Source organism: Homo sapiens, chromosome 1 (assembly GCF_000001405.40).
Source record: "Homo sapiens chromosome 1, GRCh38.p14 Primary Assembly".
NCBI classification, from domain to species: domain Eukaryota; kingdom Metazoa; phylum Chordata; class Mammalia; order Primates; family Hominidae; genus Homo; species Homo sapiens.
The window spans coordinates 198,991,303-199,019,177 of NC_000001.11; the positions used below are offsets into that span (position 1 = coordinate 198,991,303).

The 27,875-nt window shown below is 34.1% G+C and overlaps 2 long non-coding RNA genes across 2 annotated transcripts in view; one reads left to right on the forward strand and one right to left on the reverse strand.

Moving 5' to 3' along the window:
- Nucleotides 1-1,286: 1,286 nt before the first annotated feature.
- On the reverse strand, nt 1,287-27,662 carry LINC01222 (long intergenic non-protein coding RNA 1222). Its single transcript, NR_110525.1, has 3 exons — nt 27,480-27,662; nt 17,092-17,266; nt 1,287-1,696 (listed from the first exon to the last, which is right to left on the reverse strand). It is a non-coding gene; the product is annotated as a long intergenic non-protein coding RNA 1222 (long non-coding RNA).
- Nucleotides 24,831-27,875, forward strand: part of LINC01221 (long intergenic non-protein coding RNA 1221) — a 60,603-nt gene continuing 57,558 nt past the window's right edge. The window contains exon 1 of the long non-coding RNA NR_126351.1: nt 24,831-25,163. This is a non-coding gene — a long non-coding RNA (long intergenic non-protein coding RNA 1221). The remainder of the gene's footprint in view (nt 25,164-27,875) is intronic.

The window sequence follows — 27,875 nt, forward strand, 5'->3', positions numbered from 1 at the left end:
TCAAAATGCATTTATTAAAAATGAATTACACAGGTAAGTTATGTTTGCCAATTCTTACAGCTACACACTTCCAAGGACATCAGGGTTTTCCTGAATCTAAACTTTTAAAATATCACTACCCCTTTAAAGCTACCTTGAAGAAATTTTGCTTATGGCATAAGCACTTGTAACACAGGACACAGTAACAAATGAAAGAAGAAATAAAATTCATCCTGCACCCATGGTGCCAAGTTGGCTTTTTAAGGAACAATTAAAAGGAATACGTAACTATTTTTACACATTTTCTTGATACATAATAAATTTGGGAAACAGGGAAATCAGCAACTGAATTGATAATTTCTTTGCACTATGGTGCCTTAGTTGTCTATATAGAGCTTTATTACTCTATAAATATATAATAAAATTTGGAATGATAGGCCCATTTGGCAGTGTAGTGAATAATTAGTAAACTCAAGAGTACAAATTGAATCACATTTTGGCAAAGAATTGAAGAAAACACAAACAATGCAACAAAATTCATTGCTGAGGATGTTCAAAAGCTAATTCACATCAACAAATATACTTCACCCAAAGTGACATATTAAAACACATAGAGGAAAGGAATACTGGTGCTCAGGATAAACTCAACCTAAGCAAGAAAAAAAAACTAATGCAAATCATTATTTTCAAAGAGCAAAATTCATGACATCTAAAGTTTAATGCCCATTTGTGGGCTCAGCCAGCCCCAATGAAATGTCAATTACCAGAAGACTAACAATCCTTATGTGTAATAGTAAGCCCTAGCCAACCAATAGAAAGTTGAAAATACTATAGTACAACGTGGGAACTGTATGACCTGACACAAGATTATACACTGACACAGGGGGTTATAAGCAAGAACATGCTGAATGAATCTTCAGTGAAATGGCCCATACATTGTATCACTTTGATTATCAGATAAGACCTAACACCATAGGAAAAATGACTTATCTCTTGACTTCAGGGAAATACAATAGGATATTAATTAATATACTAGTTTTTTTTGTTAAAAGTCTTAGATTTATTCATTATTTTAAAACTAGGTACCTCTTCTTGTTCTTTTATTGAGACAGCAAAGGAAGATCTGCCTGGCTCAGGTATACAACGTGAGTAGCCAAGGAATGAAGATGCATAGGATGACATCAGAGAACAGGGCGTGGTTTTGCTTTTAATATTTTGCAGTCCCCTTCCAGTTGCCTTTCTACTTATATTCAAGTAGAAGAATTGGTAAAACGAGAGAGAGAGAGAGAGAGTATTTTTTTCCTCTTAGGACTAAATTATAGAAACACCATAAGCATTTTAAATCAAAGATCAGCTGTTTTAGGAATTCATTGTAATATCAATCCTATCTTATGTATTAACATTAGCAATCTAAGGTTTTCCCTAGCATGGGGAAATAGAAAACAATCCACCAGTTAGAAAAAAAAATCTTATTCTAAGCTTAACATTTTTATGATTAAAACATAAAATTATTGAGAGTGACATTTCTGCAATACTAATGGATGTGAGAATCATAAATTACAATAGAATGACTTTCTAAAAAACAATATTGAATACATTTTCTTCTTTTACTCTGATGTAACATCACATAGATCCTAACTCTGTATGTAGGTTTTACAGCTGTATTGGGCTGTTATAAGCCATGGCCCTTGAAAATCCTGATCTTTATTCTTTTTCTCTGTAAGATAAAGAATGAATTTTAGCACACAAGAGATCATCTGGAAATAAACAGAAGATTTTCATATTAACAATTTTCCTCTTTTCTGTTACATTCAGTATCTAATATAAGGTTTTCACTTTCTCTTTTGTCTGTAAAGAAACTAGATGATGTTTATCTGCTTGAAAACTATCATAACATAATGTACAGTATTATAATAATCTACTACGATAGTACCTTCTGTGTTTCTATGATTTTATTTATATGTATTCACTTTCCCAAAAGGATATATCATTAACTCTGCCCCAACATTTATTAGGAAAAATCATCTATGTTTTCTTGATCAGATTTAAAACTTCATCAATACTTCTACATGCTTTATGCTATTATATACCAAAGTAGAATTACCAAACTACGAAGAATATATACTTATAAATTAACATTACATATCATTAACATTAATATAGAGATTCATGTTATAAACATTTCATATATATATATATATATAGTGAGAAAGCACTTACTTCCTCTCAAAATAACCCAGTTAATCTTTGAAACTCTTTTGATATGATGTGTTGTGTTATTATACACAGTATATGTAGGGATTAGGTTAAGAAAATAAATCTACTAGAAAAACAAATTGAAGAATTGCTCCCTTCCAGTTTTCCTTCCAGTTTAGCCATTACTGAGCCAAAGGTGAAAAGACTGAAAAAATTAAACTGCCTTTCTCTAATTCTACATCCCACCCAACTAGTAGGAGATTTAATTTTTATATACTTGTAAAAATGTGATTCATGTACGAAAATCTAGATTGTCTATGCTTTTCTTTGTTTAGTTCTAAAGAATTTACATTGTGGCCTATTTATTAAGAGCTCTGAGGTGCCTCATGGTGAGTTCAAGTGCAAAAGAGGGTCTCTATTTGCATTTGAATTACCGCTATCCTCAAATAACCAATCAAGTAATGTCTCATTTTGAAGGGCAAGTGGGTGGGAAGAAAGAGTAGTAAGTATAAAGTTTATATTTCACATGATGTGCCAGATCTTCCCCTACATATAATTTTTCAAATTGGGAAAGAATGGAGGAGTCAAGTGATTATTATACTCCTGGCATTTTGATGAAGACAAGGACATAGCCATGCCAATCATCTTTCCTATTTCATTTCCTGAAAGGGAAAGATCAGTTAGTATGATTATCTTATTTGGTGTACAGTAATTTTACAGAAAGTATTGATTCTTTTCATTTATTTAAATGTGTACCACATATTATCCCATAAGATTCCACAGTATTATATCCCATAAAACTATATAATTTCTCATTTAATAAAAATAAACAATAAGAAAATAAGATACTATATTTTGTCATCTAATCCTTTAATATTTCAAATGTTAACATTAACACTGAATCATAATCAGTGTGCTAAAATTAAAGGCAAAAATAGGTATTTTTGTTTTGCTCTATGTCAGAATAATTGTTGAAATGTTAAGCCTTTTTAAATTTAATGATTGAAAGAAATAAAATGAAGACCACACTTAATGGAAATCAAAAGAATTTGTAGAATTAGACAATTTTCATGATATAAATACTGCATACATTTTAGCATGTATTAAAATTATATTAATATGCAATATATAGTCAACATGCAGTAAAAGGTTTCTACTGATACTAATAAACATATCAGCATTTAGTTAACAGAATAACTGTATTCATCTTAGTTATATTGAAAGTGATAATTAATTGAGTTCAATCACTGAATTCTTAAAAAAAAGATTATATAGGTGGTATAATTCAAAGGTAGATTTTCTGTAACTTAACTAAATTGACCCAAATATGGTTATATTTGCATTATTGTAATAGCTAATCAATGAGCAGTTAATAATTGCCATTTGGTCACCATATGGCCAAACTAATTTAGTTATTCCAAGTGACCAAAATAACATAAAGAGCTATTTGTTATTCTATTAAAACCTTAAATACAAATTGGAGTAACCATGTAACCAATATTCAAACTTGCAATAAAATATATTTCTTATAAAAAAATATTAAATCTAAATCATATAAATGTTCTGCTCATACCATCTGAGAGCATAATATGGCTACATTCCACACTTGAGTGCCAAATTTGTTGTCTGGCTGCTCTGGGATTAAGGTACATCCAAATAAAAGCATATGCTTGAAATATACAGAAGCCTACAAATACTCAAAATGCACTTTTCTGTAGCTTTGAAAATGAACATGGACTATCTATCAAGAGAACTACAAGGCAGCAGAAGAACTTGAGCATCTATATCTAGCTACCAAGTGAAGAGCTGTTTGTGTGTGTGTGTGTGTGTGTGTGTGTGTGTGTGTGTGTGTGTTTTCCGTGCTCTTCTTTTTAATCATGGTCATGTAAATCAGCATTGAAAGCCATGTGGGTGATTAAGCTGAGAATCACACCCAAAACTTTCACAATCAGTGCACATATATGGTATTTTGGCTTCTTATATTTCTGACCATCTGTCAAAATGGCAAAAAGCCCAATTCAAAGTTGCCAGATCCTAGCAAGTAGTTTTCAGATGGTTATGGGTTTCAAGGGATATTCTAAATAATAAATAACACTTGTCATTTAAGGATTTCTGGCATTCTAATAAAAAAGAAATCGTATTATACTTCTTTTATGCCAAAGCAAATAGTATATAGATAAACATCATACTTCCTAGCAAGTGAAGTAAGTAAATGGGAACATCTTGAAACAACAACTAAAAATATTACTTCTAGGTTGTTTGAATCATTGTCTTCTTTAAATAGAGATTTGAGTTTAAGTGTTTTCCCATTCAGTAATGGATCTATATGAATTGGTCTGATTTGTACTTATATTAACTGGCCTCAACTGGACCTAGGGGTAGGATTTGTGAAGGCAGGGCCACTGAACAGTGATAGAGTCCCTGTGTGAAATAGAAAGTCCGGTGACCTGAAAACCAAGGAAATCCTTGTACTTTATTTCTCTTTGCCTTTTATTTTTGGTGCCTTTCAACACCTTACTTAACAGCTCCAACTCTCATTTTATTCATGTTTAAAATTAAGCAACTGAAATAAATAATTGCTCGTCTTTTTTTTTTTTTTTTTTTTTGAGACGGAGTCTCGCTCTGTCGCCCAGGCCAGACTGCGGACTGCAGTGGCGCAATCTCGGCTCACTGCAAGCTCCGCCTCCTGGGTTCACGCCATTCTCCTGCCTCAGCCTCCCGAGTAGCTGGGACTACAGGCGCCCGCCACCGCGCCCGGCTAATTTTTTGTATTTTTAGTAGAGACGGGGTTTCACCTTGTTAGCCAGGATGGTCTCGATCTCCTGACCTCATGATCCACCCGCCTCGGCCTCCCAAAGTGCTGGGATTACAGGCGTGAGCCACCGCGCCCGGCCTGCTCGTCTTTTTAATAGTATTTTTTAAATTCTAGAATGCATAAAATATTCTCTATTCCTCAATGCCCCAATCACAGATCTTCTCTGTGTATCTTTAAAAATGGGCCCCCCTCTTTCCCAATCAGAATTATTTCCCCATTTGTGTTCCCATAGTACTTTGTACATAAATCTATTAGAATACCTACTACATGATAGTGTAAGTTTATGTATGTTTACGATGTCTCTGGTAAACATTTTGAGAGCTCCTCAAGAGCAGACACGTTTTGGCATTCCTAATATTTAACCCAGTGCCCAGCATACAGTATCTACTGAATAGTCACGTATTACAGTAAACAGAGACACAAGTATGTGCAACACTAAAACAATAGTAACTTTAGAAAAATAAAAACCACATGCACACACATTATATATATATTTGCAAATAAACATATATCTTACATATTATATATTACTTATATATGTATGTACATATATATTACATATATAATATGTATGTACACATATAAAATATACGTATATATTACATATATGTATGTACACATATGTAATATATGTATATATTACATATATGTATGTACACATATATGTAATATATGTATATATTATATATATATATGTTTATTTGCAAATTTTGGCACTCCGAAGTGAGCATGACTTGCCCTAATGCACAGGAAAAAAATGTGTTCTATAATCCACTTTTAAATGTATGCATCAATGATAGCTTATAAGATTTATCCCTGCCAACATTTAATTTAATTAGGTGAGAATTCTTACATTATTTTAGAAACTAGAACTAATTATTGCTATCTTTTAGATGCTTTCTTTGCAAAGACGTTTATATCCATCTGTCTTCTTTGTAGACTTTGTCAGAACTTGATGGGTTTCTATTTCAAGACAAGCTTTCGCTACATTCTCATTAGCTGCCATTTACCTCATTCTCTGGACTCTGTCATTTGGTTAGGATCAGTGCATTCACTTCTCATCTTCTGCATGGCATCCAGACCAAAGTGCTCCTAAGCCCTGTCGTCAGACCCAGGTGGCCTCACTCGGCCTTACCTTCTCACACGTAGACATTATAGATTGACTCTTTGTTCAGCTTTTTTAAAAAAGTTTCACTCTAGTACACAGACCTAAAATGACAATAATTCTTAATACTCTGTAACATGGGTAAGGGCAGTAAGTGGTAGGGCTGGAATTGGAACCTAGATCTTGCCTTTTTCACTTCACAGCCTTCCTTCTATTAGTTGTTTTTCCAACTGACCCATTTGATCGTTCTACAGTTTTCTGGAGTATTGACGAGCTCCTATGTGTGGTATTGCCTGAGCTTACTCATTTGATGTCTGGCAACATTAGGTTCCAATGTGAGAAACGGAAATCTGGTGTCTCTAAGGTCCATGCAGAGCATACTTTGAGAATGAGCCTTGTGAGACTGTAGTATCCAAAGCATTCTGTATTTCATGTAGGCAGAGTTTAAGATGTGAGATCAAAGAACAACACTACTTGTTGGATAAAATAATAACATTTGGATGTTTCCAAATGATTTTCTTAAAAAATGTAATTAATAAATGGAACTGGGCTTTCATTTCCTAAATAAATATTTCATAAAGTGATTGCACAAGCCTTTCTTTGCATTTTGCACTACTGAAGGTTGGTCAAACATGTTGAATATGCAGCAATAATGAGATCTGTCATCCAAAATGGTAATTTTGCTTGAAGTCATGTTTTCTTTAGAGTCCTTGTTATTTAAATAAATTCACTTATCCTCATGCTAGGCTTGATGCATTTTATTTTTACTTTACTTTTTAAAAATGGCAACAATTTAAAGAGAATTTTGTAGGATAAATTATGAGGTTCTTATTGTACAGCACATCTTTTTAGTCTCACTAAATCTTTCTGAACATACATAATCCATATCTGTATAGAAATTGCAGAATTTTTTTCAAAAAAGCACAGAAAACATGAATCTAATTTGAAGTTGGCTAAGTATCTGAAATAAAATATGAGAAAAACAAAAGTATGCAGTTAAAACTAGAACCTAAACTTTAGCTGAAAACTTTGGGGTTTTCTGAAAAGGAAATGTCAAAGTTGCAAGTAAGCAAAAAATTATTTAATCTACACAATGTCACTTTAAACAAATAGTTATTTAAAAAAATAAAGATGATGAAGAAGAAAACAAATTAAAAAAGACAATTGAGTATCTTTCCAGAGATTTTATTTATCCTAGAAGAGAAATGCCCCTTATCTTTATACCCATGAAGCTAACTTCATAACATTGCACAAAATTTTTTTAAGAAAAAAAATTAGCCTCATGGACTGTGGTATATAATTTTCCAATGTGTTATTTCTCAAAATAGTAACATCTTAAAATCTATACAATAAACTTCAGATTATTTCCAAACAAGGGCCATGGTCAGAATAAGTTAGTAGAGAAACTTCTTTGATTCTTTTATAAGAAATTATGTTGGGAATATTAAATGCTTGGCATACAAGTATTTAAAGTAGACAAATGCATATCTAAATTGACCTTTAAGTGGATATTAATATTTTTGTTATACAAATATAAAAAGAAACTCACCTAGGGTTTCTTCTTTTAATAAAATTACAGAAAAAGCAATTTATATATAAATGTATTTGAGTGTCTCTAAAGTGGAAAAGAATTGTGTAGCTCAACAATGCATCCATTTTAAGCAAGTCCAAGACATTCCATGAGCTTGTGGAATGATATTTAAGATTTTGCTGAAATGGATTTCTACAAAGCCCTTGTTCACTTTTCCCTGTGTGTGTGTGTGTGTGTGTGTGTGTGTGCGCAATTTTAAAGAGATTTAATCACAGTGAGTCTGATTAATTTACTTTCCTCTCATCAAAATGCTATTTAGCAAGAGTTGGATATTTGATAGCCAGTTATCTATGCTGGACCTTTTTCTTTGTATGGGGAAATGCGCATTTTGCCAAAATTAAATGGAAATCAAATATCAAGAATATGTCAGTAAGTGAGTTCCAAAGCTATAAATAAATTACGGTTGTGGTCTGAAATTCATTCCTACTGCTTATTCTCTATACATTATGCCGGAAGTTTCACTCTAGATACTTATTGAGGGCAGGGCTGGATTAGACTCCAGAAAAAATCAGGGACAGCGGGTGGTCTGATTCAAATGAGCAGCTCCAGGTCATTTTTCATACATTAATTAAAAAAAATCAACTTAAAGAGACTTTGTCATGGCCTAGATATTGCTCTAAATACTTTACACATGTGAACAAGTTTCCTACCAAGTAGATGATGAAGGTCACATTATATAACCCATTTTACAGAGGAGGAAGTGTTAAGTAACTTGCTCACGTCCATCTAGCTGTTAAGTGGCAGAGCTGAGTTTCAAACCCAGGCAGCGAGGTTTTCCCAAAAGAAGTCCTTGAGAAAACTATTAATATCCATTTAAAGGTCCATTTTAGATATGCATTTGTTTAGTTTAAATAATATTTGTATGCTAAGCATTTAATATTCCTAACATGATTTCTTTTTTTAATCTCTTTTATTATTATTATTATTATTATTATTATTATTATTATTATACTTTAAATTTTAGGGTACATGTGCACAATGTGCAAGTTAGTTACATATGTATACATGTGCCATGCTGGTGCGCTGCTTTCTTATAGAAGAATCAAAGAAGTTTTTCTACTCAATTATTCTGACCATGGCCCTTGTTTGGAAATAATCTGAAGCTTATTGTAGAGATTTTAGGATGTTACTCTTTTGGGAAATAACACATTGAAAAACTATATACGACACACAGTAAATTAGGCTTATGTCTTTTTTTCTTAATAAATTGTTGTGCAATGTCATGAAGTTAGCTGCATGGGCACTTCTTTTGGGGAAGCCCCACTGCCTGGGTTTGAAACTCAGCTTTGCCACTTAACATCTATATGGCCATGAGCAAGTTACACTAATCTAATTCTTAGATTAGGTTAATGATGCCCAAATTTGCTTCTTTAGTGAAGGGATTACAATAGGAGCCTCATAGAGTCTACTCAGCAGCATGGAGGTGTTCATTTGACCTGAGGCATGCTGAAAAGTGGTTAGTAATTCCAAAGAAAACAAGTAGCAAGGATTTAATAAATTCAGGACTCACGAGCCTTTTCTGGAGCTGCCTTTTCCTTGCATCGACACCTTCTCATGTGGGTGCGTATAATCAGCACAATCTTTTACATTACTTCCCACAATTTCAAATGTGTAGCAGACATTCCAATGTACCCAAAATTGTGCCCATTTTAGGAATCTAGACAATTCTAGGCCTAGAATATGGAATCTGCATGACTTGAGACCATGCACAACTACTTACTACCTGGTGCTTTTGGCCAAGTCATTCAACTTTGATAAACTATAATTTACCATCTGCAAAATGGGGATAATGGGAGCAACTACATCATCACCTTTTTTTGTGGATCAAAGGAGAGACCATAGGTAAAGAACCTCAAAATGATAAGCATGCAATACTATTTACATGAGGACATTTCCATGAAGTAAAAATGTTTGCATGGAGCCACCAGGTGAGAAAGAAACATGGAGAAAATAGCTTGTGGTCTATTTTCTCTGAGCTGCAGAATGAACTCATGTCTAGATCCTAAAGGAAAACACCAGTTCCAGGAGGCAGTCTGTGAAAACACAGGGCTCACTCAGTTTTATGTAGGGCAATACGTAGCATGACTTGGAGGACAGAAGAATTTCCTCATTGCTTTAAAACAGGGAGGGCAATAAGAAGCCCAGAAACTTTTGGGAATCTCAAGGCTGGGCAGAGGGTAATCATGCCCTTGGTGCGGACATTGGCTTTTCTTACCGAGACAGAGGCTGTTGTTGATCATAGGAAGATTGCACCTTCCAGGGACTTTAAGTACCAAAAGGGAAATGTGGAGGAAGAAAGGAAGGAATGAAAATACATTAGTGTGAAGTACACAGAAGACTCTCCTCTGGGTTTTCTAGAAATAGTAAGTTGAAACCTTGAGGGAAGCAAGCTGAAATCCTTTTTGTAAATGCACATACATGTGTACACATGCGATAGTGACCCTATTAATACCTACTTTGAGGCTTGTAAAAGAAACTTGGGTTATATTGGGTATTAATTTTGTCATTCTAACTACATTATAATGTCTTCAAATGGAAACCTATTTTATGAGAAGCCTCTAGTACATAGCCCAACATGTAGATAATCGATCATTATTTTCCCCCTCAGTGTTTTGCATAATTAGTGATCCTAGAACCACCTCTGGACTTAGGTGAATCTCCCAGTGATATGTTATCATCTTTGACTTTCTTAAGCTTGATTTTTTATTGTGTATTTTGTACACCTCTGATCAATTGTTGAGGAATAAATGTTTCAGGTTCTTCCTCAACCTCTCACCCTCAGCTTTCTAACCTGTTTCTTTATCATTTTGGTAGAGTTTCTTTTTGCTTTTATACAATCAAATAATTTTTTTCTGTATTATATAATATGTGGTCTAACATAAGTGTCTCTAATGTTGTATAAAAAAATTCTTGAACACAGAAATTTCCAAAACAAACAAATGACTATGTAAGGTTTGTATGGATAAATTCTATTTCATTTTTTATTAGGCTGAAATAATTAAAATAAAAATTTTGAACTGAATGTATATAAAATGCTTACATAAGTAATATTTTTGGTTTTTTTTCTATGTGAAAAATTATGATAGAACTTTTCAAATGCCTTGGCAAACATTCACTGGGGTGGAGGGGGAATATGACACAATTAGAAATAATTGTCTTCCAAAACTTTTTCTCTAAACACTGGGAAAAATTATAATATTATGAATTTTAGGTATAATGAAATCCATAAGAATAAAATTTTAAAAGAGAAGAACAAAGAAAAAGAGGAGGAGGAAAAGGCAGAGAAGGAATTAGAGGATTTCATATACAAAAGCTGTTTAAGATATATATATTACAAATTTCTGTAATGTTATGAGAATTGTTTTATAGGATCACATATTGTCAAGAGAATTCAAAACCTGCTTTTTCTTTGTTTGATTGTATATTTAAAAACTCAATATTTTTGCTGGGATTTTTCAGACCATAAAAAAATGCAAAAATTCTTTCCCTACTGGAATGCCTCTGCTTAACCCATTTTTCTACATCCTTTCTTCTTGCATTTATAACTGGATCACACCAAACCAGAATATGCCCCACAATACATCCAAGAAATACAGTGATAACATAGGTTCACCCATATCTTTGTTACTTCGTTGGCCTTAGTTTTCGGTTGTGCCTGCTCCCCCTCCCCTTTGTTGGCAAATAGATCAATTTGAGGTGTCTGCTTTATTTCTCACAAGCATATGTAAGCATTTATTTATGGGTTTTCTCTTAATGCATTCCATATTAGAAAAGGCCAAGAGTACAACATTTCTTTAAAAATTCAAATTTCTTGAGAAACAAGGAGGAGGTGAGGGGGAGGGAGTGTTAACTTGGCAGACTGTGTTTAAAATATTTTGCAAGAGGAGCCCCCTGAGGAGCTGTCCATTAAACTCCCACCATTTTGCTGTGAGTAGTGAATGTTTTTCCTGGCTCTGAATTTATGTGATTCTTAAATGTTCTCACAGGTTGAAACAAAAAAGAAATAACTGAATGTATACTTGACTATTCCTGACTAAATTATCTCTATTTATTACAAAGAGAATTTGTTTCTTGCTTGAACTTCATACTTCCTTTTATTTTTCTTAGAGAAAGCATAATATGTGGATAAGTTTTAACACTAGTCCTCTAAGAGTATCAGAAGGAACATTACATTTATGCCACGATTTTTTTCTCTTGTCTGCATTTGCCTGATTTTGGAGTGCTATTCACAGTCGCAGGAAAGCAGTTACGTCTTTGAAAAGCACAAAATAAATTCTGTTCACTGAGTGGGTAATTGTTCAAGGTCATCCATTTATTGTCTTTGTCTTGATTGTTTGAATTAGTAGCTAATAATGGTGCTGAAATGTGAATGAATTATTAGCAATGGGGCATATTTTGGGGAGTGTCAGGAAATATTACAGGGCAATTAAGGTTATCCAATAGCAAAGCTGTGTTCCCAGCAGATGTCTTGTAATTACTGTGTTTAAGGAGTGTAAGGCTTAAACTAAGATTACAGCTTTTATATTGTCTGCCTTTAGAAGTCATATTTGGAATTTATTCAGTTTATTCTCCTGCCCTTTCCCTTTTGTTCTGATTCTGTCACTTACGTTTTCATTTAAACATAGTCTTTTTATGAATTAAAATAAGTATCAGCAGATGGTATGCAGTATAGATGCTTATAAAATAGGAAAATGATTGCAGAGACATTTAAAATGACTATTGATAAATAATTTATATTGATATTATTTGTTACTCACTTTTTAATTTCTGGAATTCAAATATTTTTAAATCTCAAATAGTTTCACAACCTGGCATTTATGAAAGTGTTGCCCCAATTTATTCATACTTACCAGGGTGGTAAAAATCATTCAAGAAATGTTGAGTTACATATAATCTGGAAGCTTCTAAGTTTTAAGGGCAACACTCATTGCACACTTAATTTCTTCTTTCAACATTGACCTGTCACAATTGTTGTTGTTTCATTAAGTTTATAAAACATATTAAAATACGTGGAGTAAAAATTGTTATGTCTCTAATAATAAGTATTTTTGATTTGCAGATAGAGCTTTAGGAAACAGCACTGCATGCATTATTCACATCTGCTGTGAGTATACTTGACACAGCTGCAGTGGAGAGATGCTTGAAAAACATACTGTAAAATACACTCGGTTTCCTCTTATTGACATATTTAGCAGAACAAGGCTAATTGGACTATTCCAAAAAAGTACTCATGATCAAATCTGAAAGTTGATGTATTCGATCAACTCATAAATTATTAGAGGAGAAAGAGAATGGGTGGAAGGGGGGGATACCTAGCAAAGTGTCCTTATTTGTAGATTGCTATCTCTCGTGAACTATATAGAAATTTTAAAAGAACTAAAAAAGAAAATAAATAAAGAATGAGCATTAAGGTAAAAAAAAGTCAAGCGTTAAAATCTATAGGTCTCTAGCTTACAATTATTAAGACTTTCTCAGTTTTGTATTCTCCATAGAACTGAATAGATTATCTTGCTAATAAAAATGCCACTATTAATAACACCTATGAGACCTTGGATTTTCATATTGTATTTAATTTCAACATATTTGGGAGATACTAGTTAGGGCTTTGCTAATAATTTTTGAATAAATAATTTCAAACATAAGTTTTCTATAACTTTTGGAATAATTTTATGAGTCATTGGAAGCCTTAAAACAATTGGTTGCCGAGTCTTGAATTTCTCCTTATAAATGGCAAATCATGAAAACATTTTATAGTTAGAACATTTTGGTCACTATCTTTGATAGACTCATTATGAATATTAACAGTAAATAGGCATACATATTTATGCAATTTTAAAATATTTTGTTTAAAATTCAACAAGCAATTCTTGCATACTTACTCTTTGTATGCATTGTGATAAACATTCACAGAAGTATGCCTCTGAGTAAGACACAGATTCTCCTCTCAAGGAAAAAGGGAATTTTGTTTTGTGGACCAGATAGGTGTAAGGTACATACTGTGACCCAAAACAAAATGTTGCTAGTGTTATAATAAAAACACAGTGCACAGTGGCAACACAAGAGGAAAAATGGTATGTCAATGCAGGTGATTGGAGAAGTTTTCCTGGGCCTTTAGCATTTTGTGTATGAAAAAAATAGGAAATAAGTTAGGTCAAAGAGGGAAGAGCAAATGATAGGAACTCTGGGCCAAGAAATGGACTTTGGGGACTTGGGGGAAAGGGTGGGAGGGGGTTGAGGGATAAAAGACTACACATTGGAGGCTGGGTGCAGTGGCTCACGCCTGTAATCCTAGTACTTTGGGAGGCTGAGGCAGGTGGATCATGAGGTCAGGAGTTCGAGACCAGCCTGGCCAAAATGGTGAAACCCTGTCTCTACTAAAAAATACAAAAATTAGCCGGGTGCGGTGGCGGACACCTGTAATCCCAGCTACTCTACTCGGGAGGCTGAGGCAGGAGAATCGCTTGAAGCCGGGAGGCGGAGGTTGCAGTGAGCCAAGATCACACCACTGCACTCTAGCCTGGGCGACAGAGCAAGACTCCATCTCAAAAGACAAACAAACAAACAAAAAAAGACTACACATTGGGTAGAGTGTACCCTGCTTGGGTGACGGGTATACCAAAGTCTCAGAAATCACCACTAAATAACTTATCCATTTAACCACACACCACCTGTTCCCCAAAAACCTATTGAAATTAAAAAAAGAGAAACGGATGGAAGTGTAAAGGGGTTGTCTTATTTAGAGATGAGAAAATAATCTTTAATTGCCAGGGTGTAGATTTATAGCACCGATTAATAATGAAATAAACTCTAGTTAGGTTGGAGTTAGACTAGACAGGGCCTTAAATGTCACACAGAGGAGTTTAACGTGATCAATCAGTAGTTGTTTTGGGCTTTTGAACAAGAAAGTGAATGACCAGATCTGTTATTAGGAGATAATTTTGGAAGCTCTGTGAAAGATGGAATTAACGGGAAAGATTGGTGATAGAAAAATCAGCAGGAACCTTATTGCAATAGCTCAGTTTAGTGACAAAAGAGTCCTAGAAACCAGTAATTGTGTACTTTACCATTTTTTTATTTGCTCATTTTATCTTCTCTCTCCTCCTCCACCCCTTTGCTGTCAATAACCCAAGAACAACAAGAAAAAAATCTCAAAAACTAATATGTGTTAGTTTTTAAAAATTCAATAACTCAAAATAATAATAAAAACTCTGGCCCCCAGGGACAAAAGAGGGAGAGGGGACACTGAACTGTAATTTAAACACAAATTTTGATACAATTTTATTGAAAGGAGGGAGATAATAGAAATAAAAATTTTTACCAAAATAAAATAGAAAAATATTCCTTTCTCTTTCTTCAGTCTTCATATTACAAAATAATATGTATCACTGATACCAATGACTTATTTTTATGCACCATTAAAATTAGCACTTCTTCACCATGATACCAAATTCTCTCCACTCCTCTCTCCCTCCTCTCAATAAAATTGTATCAGAATTTTGTATTTAAATTACCACTTCAGTCTTCACCCCTCAACTTTTTAAAAGTTGTGTTATATTGTTTACTTCTGAACCAAGTCATTTACTAAGATTTGCACCCTTACCCAAATAACTCTTTGTTTGTACTGGAGTTAATACTCGTCTCTTCTTTTTCATAAATTGCTACATTCCAAACAATAAAATACCTATGGAAATTGTTTTGTTTATGTTTGCTTATGGTCAGTCTCACCAGGTAATGTGTCATGAATTCATTGGTTCCTTTTTTGTTTCCTGGAGACATTCATTCCTTAGTCTTCATGCTCTCAATAGCCTTGGGGTTTCTAGACTTGAAGAATGGCTGATGTCTTAGGATTTCCCTTCAACATTATTCCAGGAATTCTTTTCAACCTCTCCTGTGTTGTAATCATTTTTCATTAATCCTATGTCTTGTTTATTTATTCCATTATTTTGGTGATGTATATCTTCCTACAGAAGGGTGTATCACAAATACATATTTTTAGATCTAACCTATCTGTAAGTTGCTTTACTTAATCTGTGTCTTCTGATTAATTTTTTAAATGGAGCATAGAAGTCTAGGTTGGAATTAATTTTCTTTCAGAAGTCTAAATGTTGTAACTCCCATATGTGATCTTCTTTATCTTTGTAGAAGTTTTTAGCATCAAATATTTGTATGCATTGTACAATTTCAGAATGATATACTTTTGAATATGTTTTTATTCATTTATGATGTTGACTCTTCAGTGTGCATTTTTCTTTATTTATTTAGCAAATATTATTGGATATTGTCAATACGCTAGATACTGTTCTAGATGTTAGGGAAAAAAAGTGATCTATATTCTGAAGTCCTTGGAAATTTCATTCAATTATTTCTTGTATTACTTTTAAGATTCAATGGCTGTGGGATGTAAAGAGATCCCCAGAGAGAGTACAGAGTAGGAAGAAGACCTTGAAGACAACAATAAGAGGAAAGGAAAATCATCAATTAGAGGTTGATAGAAAATATCAGGTAAGTAAAATGAGACTCATTCATTTACTCAGACACTCATCCAACCTCACTCTTGGGAGCCTGTGGTTTCTGTTGCACATGGCTCCTGCAGTTCATAGAAGCGAGCCACTTCCCTGTTGCTCTCTCCCTTGGGCAATAGCAGAGTGCCTGTGGTCATGGTGTGCTCACTTGGCCCCTTGGCCCATCTCTAGCTCAACCCTAGGGATAGTGGCTAGTCCATATATCTGTATTCCCGTGTTTCTTAACATTATTTTACTGCTGCTTGCAAATCCCTCATTACTTCAAACCTCTGTTACAGTTAAAAAAAATTCTCATAAACTTCTTTGTTCAAATTACCATGTGTTTTTACTCTCTTGATGGGATCCTAACTGATTCACTGGATAAATATAAATCAAATTATAAACATGTATAAAATTATTATACCCCCCAGATTATATTAATGTTAGTTATCTTTGGATATATTGTCATTATATTGCTTATCTGCATATTCTAAGTCCTTACAATAAAAATATATTTTGTGATAAGAAAACCATCAACATACTTTTCTTAATCCCCAAATAAATTGTTTTTTATCCACCTGTAGACAGTAAAGAATGACCTGCAATTACCTGCAATTACTCAGTATGATTTAATTTGGCTCTTTGTGCCTTGTTCAAATACTGTGTAATGAACTTAGAGATAAATAACCAACAGAAAACTCAGAGTTTTGGTACCGTTTCCAGTACAAATTCATGATCCAAAGTAATTTACTGATGCATTAATGTTCATGGAACATTGCAAGAAATTATTTTCAGAAGTAAGGCAGGTAGACAATAGAAGTGTTAAGGTTTCAGCTTTCCCATTACATGAAATAATCTTCCTTGTCTAAAACTTTATTGGTTCCCACATCTAATGTATACTTACAGAGATCGGAGGGAGGGTTATTTAAACCTTTTTGACATCCGAATTTGAATTTTAGTTGTCATCTTATAAAAATCAGACATTGTATTGATCAGAAGTAATCTAATTGGAAAAGGTCCATCATTTTAAAATTTAACTTCTCTTGATATTTTTCTGTATGTACCGGATCACAGGAATTCTGAAATGAAAATGCTCTTACTTCAATAGAGAACCTTAGGTAAGCTAGGTAGTTACACTAAAGGCCAGTAGAAGGGCTAGGGAACGCACAGTGAAACTGGAGTAGTTCTCTTAAAGTTTGATTTAGACTGTAAAGTGGTTTCTAAAAATTGCAATTTTCTTTTTCTCAGAAAATACATAATTTTCACCTTTAACTTGACTCAAAGTTAACTTGCAGTTATAGCTTTGACATTAGTAAAATCCTGCACTACTATTATTTTAAAGCACTATTGCAAAAACTTAATAAATACCATATTCTATATTTTATTTTGCAATAAAATAGAAAATTTCATCATATGCATTTAATTGTTTCACTATTTCTTAAAATAATAGTTTCACATAATGTTAAAGTATAACTGTAGTATGTTAGCAGTTAATCTTGCCTTTCCTGGTTCAACCTAAAATTTCTGCCCTGGAAAAACAATTTAGCAGGTTTTTATCAGTGTACTAGATGGTTGGCTCAGAATGAAGCAAATGTGTGTACTAGGAATAAAACACAAATTAGAAATGTTACACACAATTAAAATTATAAGACACAGAAAAAGGACTAAATCAACTTTGTTTAACATATCATTGTGTAATATTATGTATGAAATATATAGGCTTGGTATGGAAAATCAGGTAGACAACTCAGGTTTATTTTATGAAGTATTGTCAAACATGAGCTGCTCTTGAGAATATTGAAACTCAGATTGGAAGCATTGCCAGAGAGACCACATACTTGATAGGAACAGTTTTCTTTTCTTCTTTTAAATTTGATTAGTAATTTTGATATTTTCAACTTCATAACATCGGAAACATCATTCAAAATATTCATGAAGATATTAGAATTCCTTCTTCTGGAATAGGAACACATTTATTTTCAGCCTTAAGTAGCTCATTTTTAGTTATTGGTCTGATTTTCCTAAATTTAGCATAATAATATCTTGTCCAATCCGTTGTCATAATAGAAAAGATCATTTTATGTGCGATTTTGGTTAGCTTCTGGTTTGCTTTGTCAAATTTAGAACCACTTGAACATCGTGGTTTCTAAATTTAGTCAAACCCTTTGAGCTTTAAGTTCCGTTTGGCGCTGGCTGAACATGAACTGCTGCTTTGAAAAAAAAATTCTCTTGGCACTATCAGAATCTAGATGTGTGCACTGCACAGACCTCCTCTTATTTAAAAGAAATACATTCACTTTTATTTGAAAGTTGAGAGCTCCAAGAGGATAAATAATAAAATGAGAAACTTGAAAGAAATAGGTCATATTTTAAAAGAGCTCTCAAGCAGAATTAGGCCTTTGGGTTTAGGGCCTAAACCCAAATATTATTTAAAAGAGAGAGAGAGTCCATTTCAGTTATTTTAAAATGTAGTGATTTAATTTATCTCAGGAAGTTAAAGCAAACTCTGTCCATTATGTTGCCATTAGTTTGGTGTTACTAAGAAGGAACTTGTTGAAGTATTTTATTTTTCATTAAAGACAACTTATTTCCACACTGTAAGGGATAATCAGAATATACATCCCTCAAAGTCAGTGGGTTAATTTTATTTTTCACACTTGTACAACAAATTTAACATAGAATGATAATTAAAATTAACATTTATGGCTGGGCACGGTGGCTCACGCCTGTAATCCCAGCAGTTTGGGAGGCCAAGGTGGGTGGATCACCTGAGGTCAGGAGTCTAAGACCAGCCTGGTCAACATGGTAAAACCCCATCTCTACTAAAAATACAAAAATTAGCTGGGTATGATGGCACCCTCCTGTAGTCCCAGCTACTCAAGAGGGTGAGACAGGAGAATCACTTGAACCCAGGAGGCAGATGTTGCAGTGAGCCAAGATTGCCTCATTGCACTCCAGCCTGGGCGACAGAGTGAGAAAAAAAAAAAGAAAAGAAAAGATAAAGAAAGAAAAAGAACATTTACAAGGAGACACGTCAGGCAATGTCTTAAGTTTTTTACATGTATTAATTCATTGACTACAACCACCCTTTAAGATAGGTACTACTATTATTCCCAACTTACAGATGACGAGGCTGAGGCTCCAATGGTGAACTAACTTTCTAAGTGTCACACAGATAATAACACAGGAAGTTGCACAGCAAAAGCCAGGGTCAGAACCAGAGCCATCTGTTAACTCCTACTATGCAGTAACTCAGTAGCCTGGATGAAATCTAAAGGCAACGATGTTCAGGGATCCAAGTTTCCCCACATTCTGTCCACATCAAGCAAGTTAGCCTGTGTTTACGTAGCAAAGATTTTTTTTTCTCAACTTGTGCACTCACTCTTTAGACACATGTACAGAGAGCTTATGTAAAACCTGCCACACATAGTGTTCAAATTGTGACATAACACAAGGTTGTAAGCTCCTAGACGTTTTCTAAAGGAATCTCACTTGTCTCTTAAACTGAACATTCTGTCAACTTGCTTGAAACTTTCTGGGAAAACACACACACACACACACACATACACACACACACACATACACACACACACACACACACACACTTCACATGATTCTTTGTACTTCCAGTCTCAGCATGCTTTTCCTTCCTTGGTGGCTCAAGTCTAGGCTGAGCATTCCTAGATTATGTGTTCATCCTCCTAATATTCTCTATACTATTTCCCTGTATACTTTGATGGCTTCTCCTGCAGGCCTCATGCACAGTTAGTAAGCGCTGGTTGTAACTAAATGAATAAATAAAGGAATTGCTGTAACATAGAGAGCTGCTGTTCCTGAGAGATGACACTTTAAACACAAATAGGAGAGAATATTTTGTAGACAGACTTCTGAAGGCGGATACATTTTTCCTTTTGTCTGAGAATAACCAAAAATCTGGTTAGAGAAAGGCCGAGAGAAGTAATCTTTTCTCTATGCTTACTGCCCCCTTGTAAGATAAATTCAGAGTGGTCCCCTAAAGAATTGGGAGGATTAAACTGAAATGCCACCGAGATCCTATCTGAAAACACTTTAGGATAACATCTCCAACTCTAATGAGCCTCTTTACTGGCAGCAAACAAAACCAAACATTTAGATATATTTACTGTTTTACAGCAGGTCGGACCTTATGGGTAAAATTTCCTAAATCATACTTTCCTTTGTTATTTTAGTTTTAGTTTATCACTCTTAGGTTTCCTTCCTAAGGATGCTAGAGAGCCAAGACACTTGTGAGCCCTATGGAAAGAAATTGTTCAATACCAACCAGCTCTTCCCCATAAAGAGGTAGTCATTTTCCTTTTTTTTTTTTTTTTGTATTTAAGACCTCGCTTATAGCATTTACTGTACCTTCTTATAGTGCAGCCATAATATTGGGTATTCAATAAATGTTTTATTGAATTGGATTGAATATTTTAGCTCTTACCTTAAAACATCTTTCTTACAGTAACAAACTGAGTGAAAAGTGCACAAATGGTCTCCATTTTATGTTGGATTATACATGACATTTCTAGGAAGTGAAAAATGTAGGGAATTGCAGGGGCAATAATTTGTTGAGTGTTGGAGATAGAAATATCAACAAAATGATATACTCCAAGCTCATCAACTATTTAATGGTGCGTAGTTGGGTTCTATTCTGTGTCCTTAAGTTATTGTCACTGCCCTGTCATAAATTATAGTGACATACACTGTAGCTATTTCTTACATTCTTCTGCAGCAGAGTAAGCAGAATTACCAATTTCACATTTTCTGTGCAGTTCCCTGTAGATGGGATGTTTTTTAAAAAGTGGGAGTTTGAATGAGAATAAAGGGTAGAAGGGCTATAACAACCCAAAATAAATAAATTTGTAAAATTCTATCATCATGCATGCATTTTCCCATGTGCTCTGGTGTGTAAATTCTTTTATCCCTAAATAGATAGCTGACAGAGAATATAAATGCTTATGTATCTTTAAAACAGCCACTATTCCAATACAAGAGAAGAATAAAACTAAAATGTTGGTATATGACTGCAGCCAGAAAAATCAAGAAATCTGCCTCTCCGCACTCCAGATTAGCTTGAAATTTTCTGTCTTCCTTTTCCCTTTTTGAATTCTAATTTTCTTTTTTTAAACTGGAGCATACGAATTTTGCAAAAGTACTTATTATTAGCTCTTCTCCACAGGTTTTGTTTGTTTCCAAAAAATTAGGTTTTCTTGGAAATTTGCTTTAGTGAGTAAACCATATTTAGAATATTATCTTGCTCAAACTAGACACTCAAAATGTATTAAATTAATTAATGTGTTTTACTTCATGTAAATGCACCTATTTGATTATACAGCTTTGAATAAGAAGATTTCAAAGAGAGATTGTAAAGAGAGGGATCACGTTTGAAATCCCTTTCAGCTCTAAGCTCCTTCTTTGCCATCCTTTTTTGGTCATCTTGTCTAAAACTTCAAAATTAGTATCTGAATGTAGCATGAAGCTACCCTAATCTCTACACAGCAAAAAGGAAAAAAATATAACTCATAGAATGTGATGAAAACTATTTGAAGTATATTAAATATAAAAAATATTTGGCAGAATATACACAAAACGAAATAGTGTTTACCTGGAGAGGGTGTGATGGGAGAGTCTGGGCAGAATTTAGTTTCTTCCACTAGGTTATAAGTTTTATACAGCAAGGTCATGTCAGTTTTGTTTTCTATTGCGTGTCTAACTGCTAATATGAGGTTCAACCCATGGTACATGTTCAAGAAATACTTATTAAATGATATTCTATTCATTTTTCTTCTGTATAGGTTTTTACAAAGAAAAAATATTCCTTTTCTAGTCAGAAAAATAAACAATAAAGTTTTTTAAACACTTTGCAATACAGCATATTATTGAACCTCTGTAAACATTTGTTGAGTGACTGAACCCAAGCAAAGAGCATGAAGTTAGTTGGGCAGACTGTGAAACATGAGCCACTGTTCTTTAGCAGCATGAAAACCACACCTTTTTCATCAGGTTAAAACTGAACACCTAACACAGGCATGCCCAGGTCACCTGTGTCATGGCTCTTCCCAGTGTTTCCCGTCATTAGGCTGATGTTAAAGAGGCCAGAACTTTCCAGTGGGAGCTTATCTGATATACCTCTACTCCACTTCAAATGTATCTCTAACTCCAGGTATTCACTTTCCTTCTTCTACAGACTTAGAGAAAGAAGTGTCATTTTCTATCTCAAAAGCTCACAACTCCACCTATGCCTGGGATCCAGTCCCCATGGTCCTGCTCCAGGGCCTGATTCCACCAAGCTGCCCTCTTGTTTCTGGCATACAACTCCTTACCATGGCTGTCCCCATCCATTCCACAACTGTGCAGGACTCATGTCTTCTAAGAATAAAAAATCAAACCTGCAGCACCCAAGGAGCTGATCAAGCCACTGCCCCTTTAATAACTTCTCATCGCCTTCCCAAGGTAAATTATTCACTGAAAATCTGGGTGGCATTTGAAATCTGTGGGGAAGCTGGTGAGGTGGAATGGATAGTGATTTTGAAGTAGCCTACTCACCAGCAAGATACCATTCAATAGGTTTGGCTGGACTTCTGCTCCTTGGCTACTGCTGCTGATTCCCACTCCCAGCTCTGACTGTTGCATTAGCCTCATGAAGCTCTTTGTTGTCTCCAATGGGGACACAGTATTTAGCCTCATCATTCCCCTGTTGTCTGTGACCAGCCATAACCTTCTCATGGCTGTTTTCACGACTACATGACAGAGTTTTTTCAAGTTTTACATTACTATAAAATCAGACAAGGTTTTTGCTTCCTGATCACTCACTTTCTCCTTAAATCTTACGCTTCAGTTTCTGCTTCCACCATTTAATAAAACATCTCTCACGAAGAGATGATTAAGAAACTCTTACTTGTGAAACAATGGTTTTCTTCAATTTCATTCTACTTCTGTTCTCTGGATTATACATTACTACAGACTAGAGATCACCAACAGGCACCCTGTGGACCAAATCAAGATAGCAATGTATTTTCCGTAAGGACATTGTTTTTAAAAAATATATTTCTTTTGAAGTCAGTTACTTTATATGAGTCACATGCATTTCACTTTTTCTTTGTCCCATGCCTTCTTATTACTTTAGACTTGGCTTGCTGCAATATTTGCTTGACCACTCTAAAGATTCAACTTTGCATCTCTTAGTTAGATGATTCTCTCCTTTGAGCTACTACTCTACTCGCTTTGTTGTTTTTAACTACCTTTAGGATCACTCTTCCTTTTTCTTCTCTCTCAAGTTCTTCCAACTCTGCTTCCTCATCCCATCTTTGAGATATAGATACTTTATAAAGATTTGCTCATAGTCTTTGTTTTTTCTCTAACCACACTCACTTCCTTGGTAATTTTGCTCAGTCTTATACTCTCAATTGTCACCTTTACCTAGTGACTTCCAAGAATCCACCTGTCTCCTCCTGACTGCCTGTGGGTTCTAGTGTGCATTGTACATCTTCAGCAACAGTTCTGAAAACCATTTAAATTTAGTATATATAAGCCAATACTTTTCTTGTAGCCCTAAAACCTACTCTTTTTCCAACATATCCTTCTGGTTATTACTAACCTCCTAATTGCCTACATTAAAAATGTCAATTATTACTATTATCTCTCTCTGATGTTTCTTTACTGTCAAGTTCTATTTATTTCCACCTATCCTATTTCTTTATCCTGATTTCCACTTCCCTTATATGATGCTCATGAAAAGTCAGTGTTTCTTTAATTTGATGGTGCTTCCAATAGAGTGAAATTTTTTTAATTACACAAAATAATGCACATCCAGTATCCAGTATTTTCCTAGACATACTACTGTTACTCTTTTTTAATATATGGTCTTTTAAAGATGGTATCTTATGTTTACAAGGTTCACCTTTCTTCCCCTTGATGAGTATCATGAGGTCTCATTTTCCACACCTGAGTGTCTCACAGACCTACCTCTCCTTCTTATAGAGACATTTCCCAAAGAACATTTTACATTACATGCGTGTATAAAGGGAAGCCTGTAATTTTGACCTGGTAAGGAATGGGTGAGTTGCTGATCACCCTTCCTTTTTGTAATTCAGTTTAAGAAACAAGCTTCATTTTAAATTCCAATTCTATAGTCATATTTTCTACAATATTCATTATTTCATTCTTTCAACAAGTTAATATATTAACTTTTATTCCTAAACCAATTATTTTTTCCTTATTCATTTTACAACTCATTTCCAGATTAAACTTTCTGAAGCCTAGTTCCATTAAGTTTCCCCTACTATTCAAAAATGTAACAATGGTTTCCTCTTGTATATAAAATATAACGTTCAACTCCAGTGTAGGGCATTCAATTCTTTCCACAACCTGAACCCAAATTTCTTTTCCAACCTGATTGTCCCACGTACATGTGTCACACCCTTCAGCTAAACCAAAACTTTCACCTTCCACCCTGTGGTGGATAGGCTCTGTGGTGGCCCCCCATCATCCCCATCTCCTGACATTTATGGCCTTGAATAGTACTTTCCCCTGAGTATGACCATGACCTGTGACTTGCTTCTAACCAATAGGATACAAGACAGGGGGAATGTGATTACATATTTATGATTATGTAGAGAAGATGGTGTGACCATCTTGTTAAAGTTTATTTTTTCCTGGCTGGATTTAAAGAACTACACTGCCATGTTGTAGGCTGCATGTTGGGTGACCATTGTGACAAGGAACTTAGGGTGGCCCCTAGGAGCTGAGGATGGTCTCCAGTTGAACATCAACAAGACACTGAAATTCTCTGTCCTTTAACTGCAAGGAACTAAATTTTGCCAACGAAAATGAATCTTTCTCCAGTTGAGTTTCAGATGAGACTGTACTTCCAGGCAAATCCTTTTTGCAATCTTGTTCACCCCAAACAGAGGACTCAGCTAAGCTCTTCCCAGATTCCAGATACACAGAAATTTTAAGGTAATAAATGTGTGTTATATTAAACTGCAAATTAGTGATAATTTCTTATTCTGCAATAGAAAACTACTACTCACCTTTTGCTTTTGCATTATGTCTGAAAAGTCTTTCTCTATATGATCATATATTTTAACTCTACCATACATTATAACTCAATGCCAATTACTCCAAGAAGTATCCTCATGTCTTGGGAAGCAATCTATCCCATCTCTCAACTCCAACATCACCTTACTAGATCTGCTTCTATGAACATACTTCTTTTACATTTTTATTATGGGTGCTTATCTTCTCTTTTAGACCATAACCTTCTAAAACGCGGAATTTTATTTGATTCATCTTTAAAAACAAGGGATCCAACACGTTGCTTTGAATATGTTAATAGCTCAATAAATACTTTAACTAAATAACATTTTACAAAATATTTGAGCCTAAATATTTCGGTGCTAGGAAGATTAAAATATATGCTAACTTTCTGTTTTATACAATGACAAGCTTAGTGGGCAATGTATCACACTAGTAAATACTGCAGAGAAATAGACTCATACTTCCAATTATTTATTTTTTCAGAACCTGCTCAAACTCCTTTGCATTGTGAAATATAAGAAGTTTTTTCTAAAGGAATGATATAAATACATAGTATTAGAAAAAATTAGAAATTAATTTTTATGTAAAAAATAATAGTTTTCTAAAGGTTTTACAAGGGCCTTACTATTAAAATGAAAGGAAAGCAGTTTAACTTTATTTCTCCATTGTCTACAATATTTGTCTTCTACTGATAATGAACATTCTATCTGCTACACTCATAACTGTTGTCTGCATTGGGAGAATGATTTTGATTAACTTACATAAGGGCATAAAATAAAAATTTAACCTTTTTTAGTTTTTCAAAAAAGTCTATAAAAATAGTAAGTGAAATGAAAGCAATCTTCTATTAACAGGAAGATAGTCTAGGGCTGAGTTTATGCTTTGTGGAGCATCCATGTTGTATGTGAAAGGTAGCTGTACTTTCATAAGAATTGCTGAATAGTAAAGAGAATTGGAATAATGTTTAATATTACATATGGTAATACCATTAAAATATAAGCAGATTTATACATGTTTTCTCCTAGGAACATGTCTTCATGTACTAGTTTTCTGTCTATATTGAGAAGTCATGATTATTATATCCTTATTCTATACTAATTAGCTCATTTCCTAATAGCAGTAGGTGCCAGTGTATCAAAGATATAAGATTGTTCTGAAAACTGCTTAGATGTAACGGAGACTCAGGACACTTTTCTAAATTTTCATTTATTCAAATATTATTTATCTATAGAACTATGGTTTTTAAAAATAACATTTTTAGATCTGTACTATATAACCCTGGTAGAACCAGTATCACACCAAATGTGTTTGATAAACACCTCTAAATTGCTAAGAGTAAGATGAAAATGATCTTTTGTGATAAGAGATTTAAAAATGGTAGTCTATTTCAAAAATATCAAAAATAAAAGAAGGAATAAAAGCTTCACAATAAATTAATGCTTTACTCTCTAATATGCTTCCTTTAAGTATAAACCATTCCATTTAGCATTCAGAAACTGCTATTGAATCAGTCTACATCCAAAACATATTCACTCACTACAATTTGTGTTGTCATTTTGGAATATGACTTTAAAGCATGAGTCATAAAGCCTGTGAAGTGCTATTGTCAAAAAAGTCATAACATACGTTATTTAAAGGAACACATTAAATTCTGCATTATTGTAAATATACTTTTCATAATGCTGTTTGCTAAAATACTTTAAAAAAATCTACAAATTTACTTTCAATAGCTTTTCATTGAATGGGAGATTTTTAAAGCATATACTCTGATTTTGTGCTTCTCTGCAAGGTAATAATTTCAACATTATCATTATCATGAGTACATTCTTTAAAATTTAAATGTCTTAAATTCAATATGCCTATAATTTTCTGTGAATCTGCACATATAAGTATCCACATGTAATTCTTATGAATATAGATTTCATCTCCTTTCCCCACCTATACCCACTTTCCTGCAGAACAGCTAGAGTAATCCATTTAAAATGAAACCCAGATTATGCCATTCTGCTACTTAAAACACTCCAATATCTCTCCATAACACTTAGGATAAACCAAATTACTTGGCTGCTCAACACCCTACTTGATTGGTCCCTGCCTCAGCCTCTCTAATGTCAATGCCTATCATTCTTCCTTAGTTCCTATCATATCACACCCTGAACTTCCTTAGTTCAGGGTGTGATAGCTATACTGGTAACATTCTGGCCCTTGAATGTCCTTGAATATCTGAAGATTTACCTCTGCATTATGGTCACAGCTGCTCCCCCTTTATCTTCCTATGCTTATTTCCTTCTTGACACGTAAATCTTAGCTTAAATGTCACCATCTCAGAGAAGTCTTTGTAGGTCACCAACCCAAAAGTAGCTGCCATCTTCCAAGCATTGCCCATAATGTTACCCCTGCTTAATTTCCATCTGAGCTGTCATCCTTTGTGTATGTAGGTGTATATATATATTTATTTTGGTTTGATGTCAGCCACACCCAACCAAAAGTAAGCGGCATAAACCTAGTGCCTGGCCCTTAGTAGATGTTTTGAAGGGATGAGTGGAACAGTAAGATACAGAGGCCTTGCTGTAGCTTACCTCCTAACTCTTAAGTTTTGGCTTTTTCTCTCATTTGCTATGTGACTTTAGG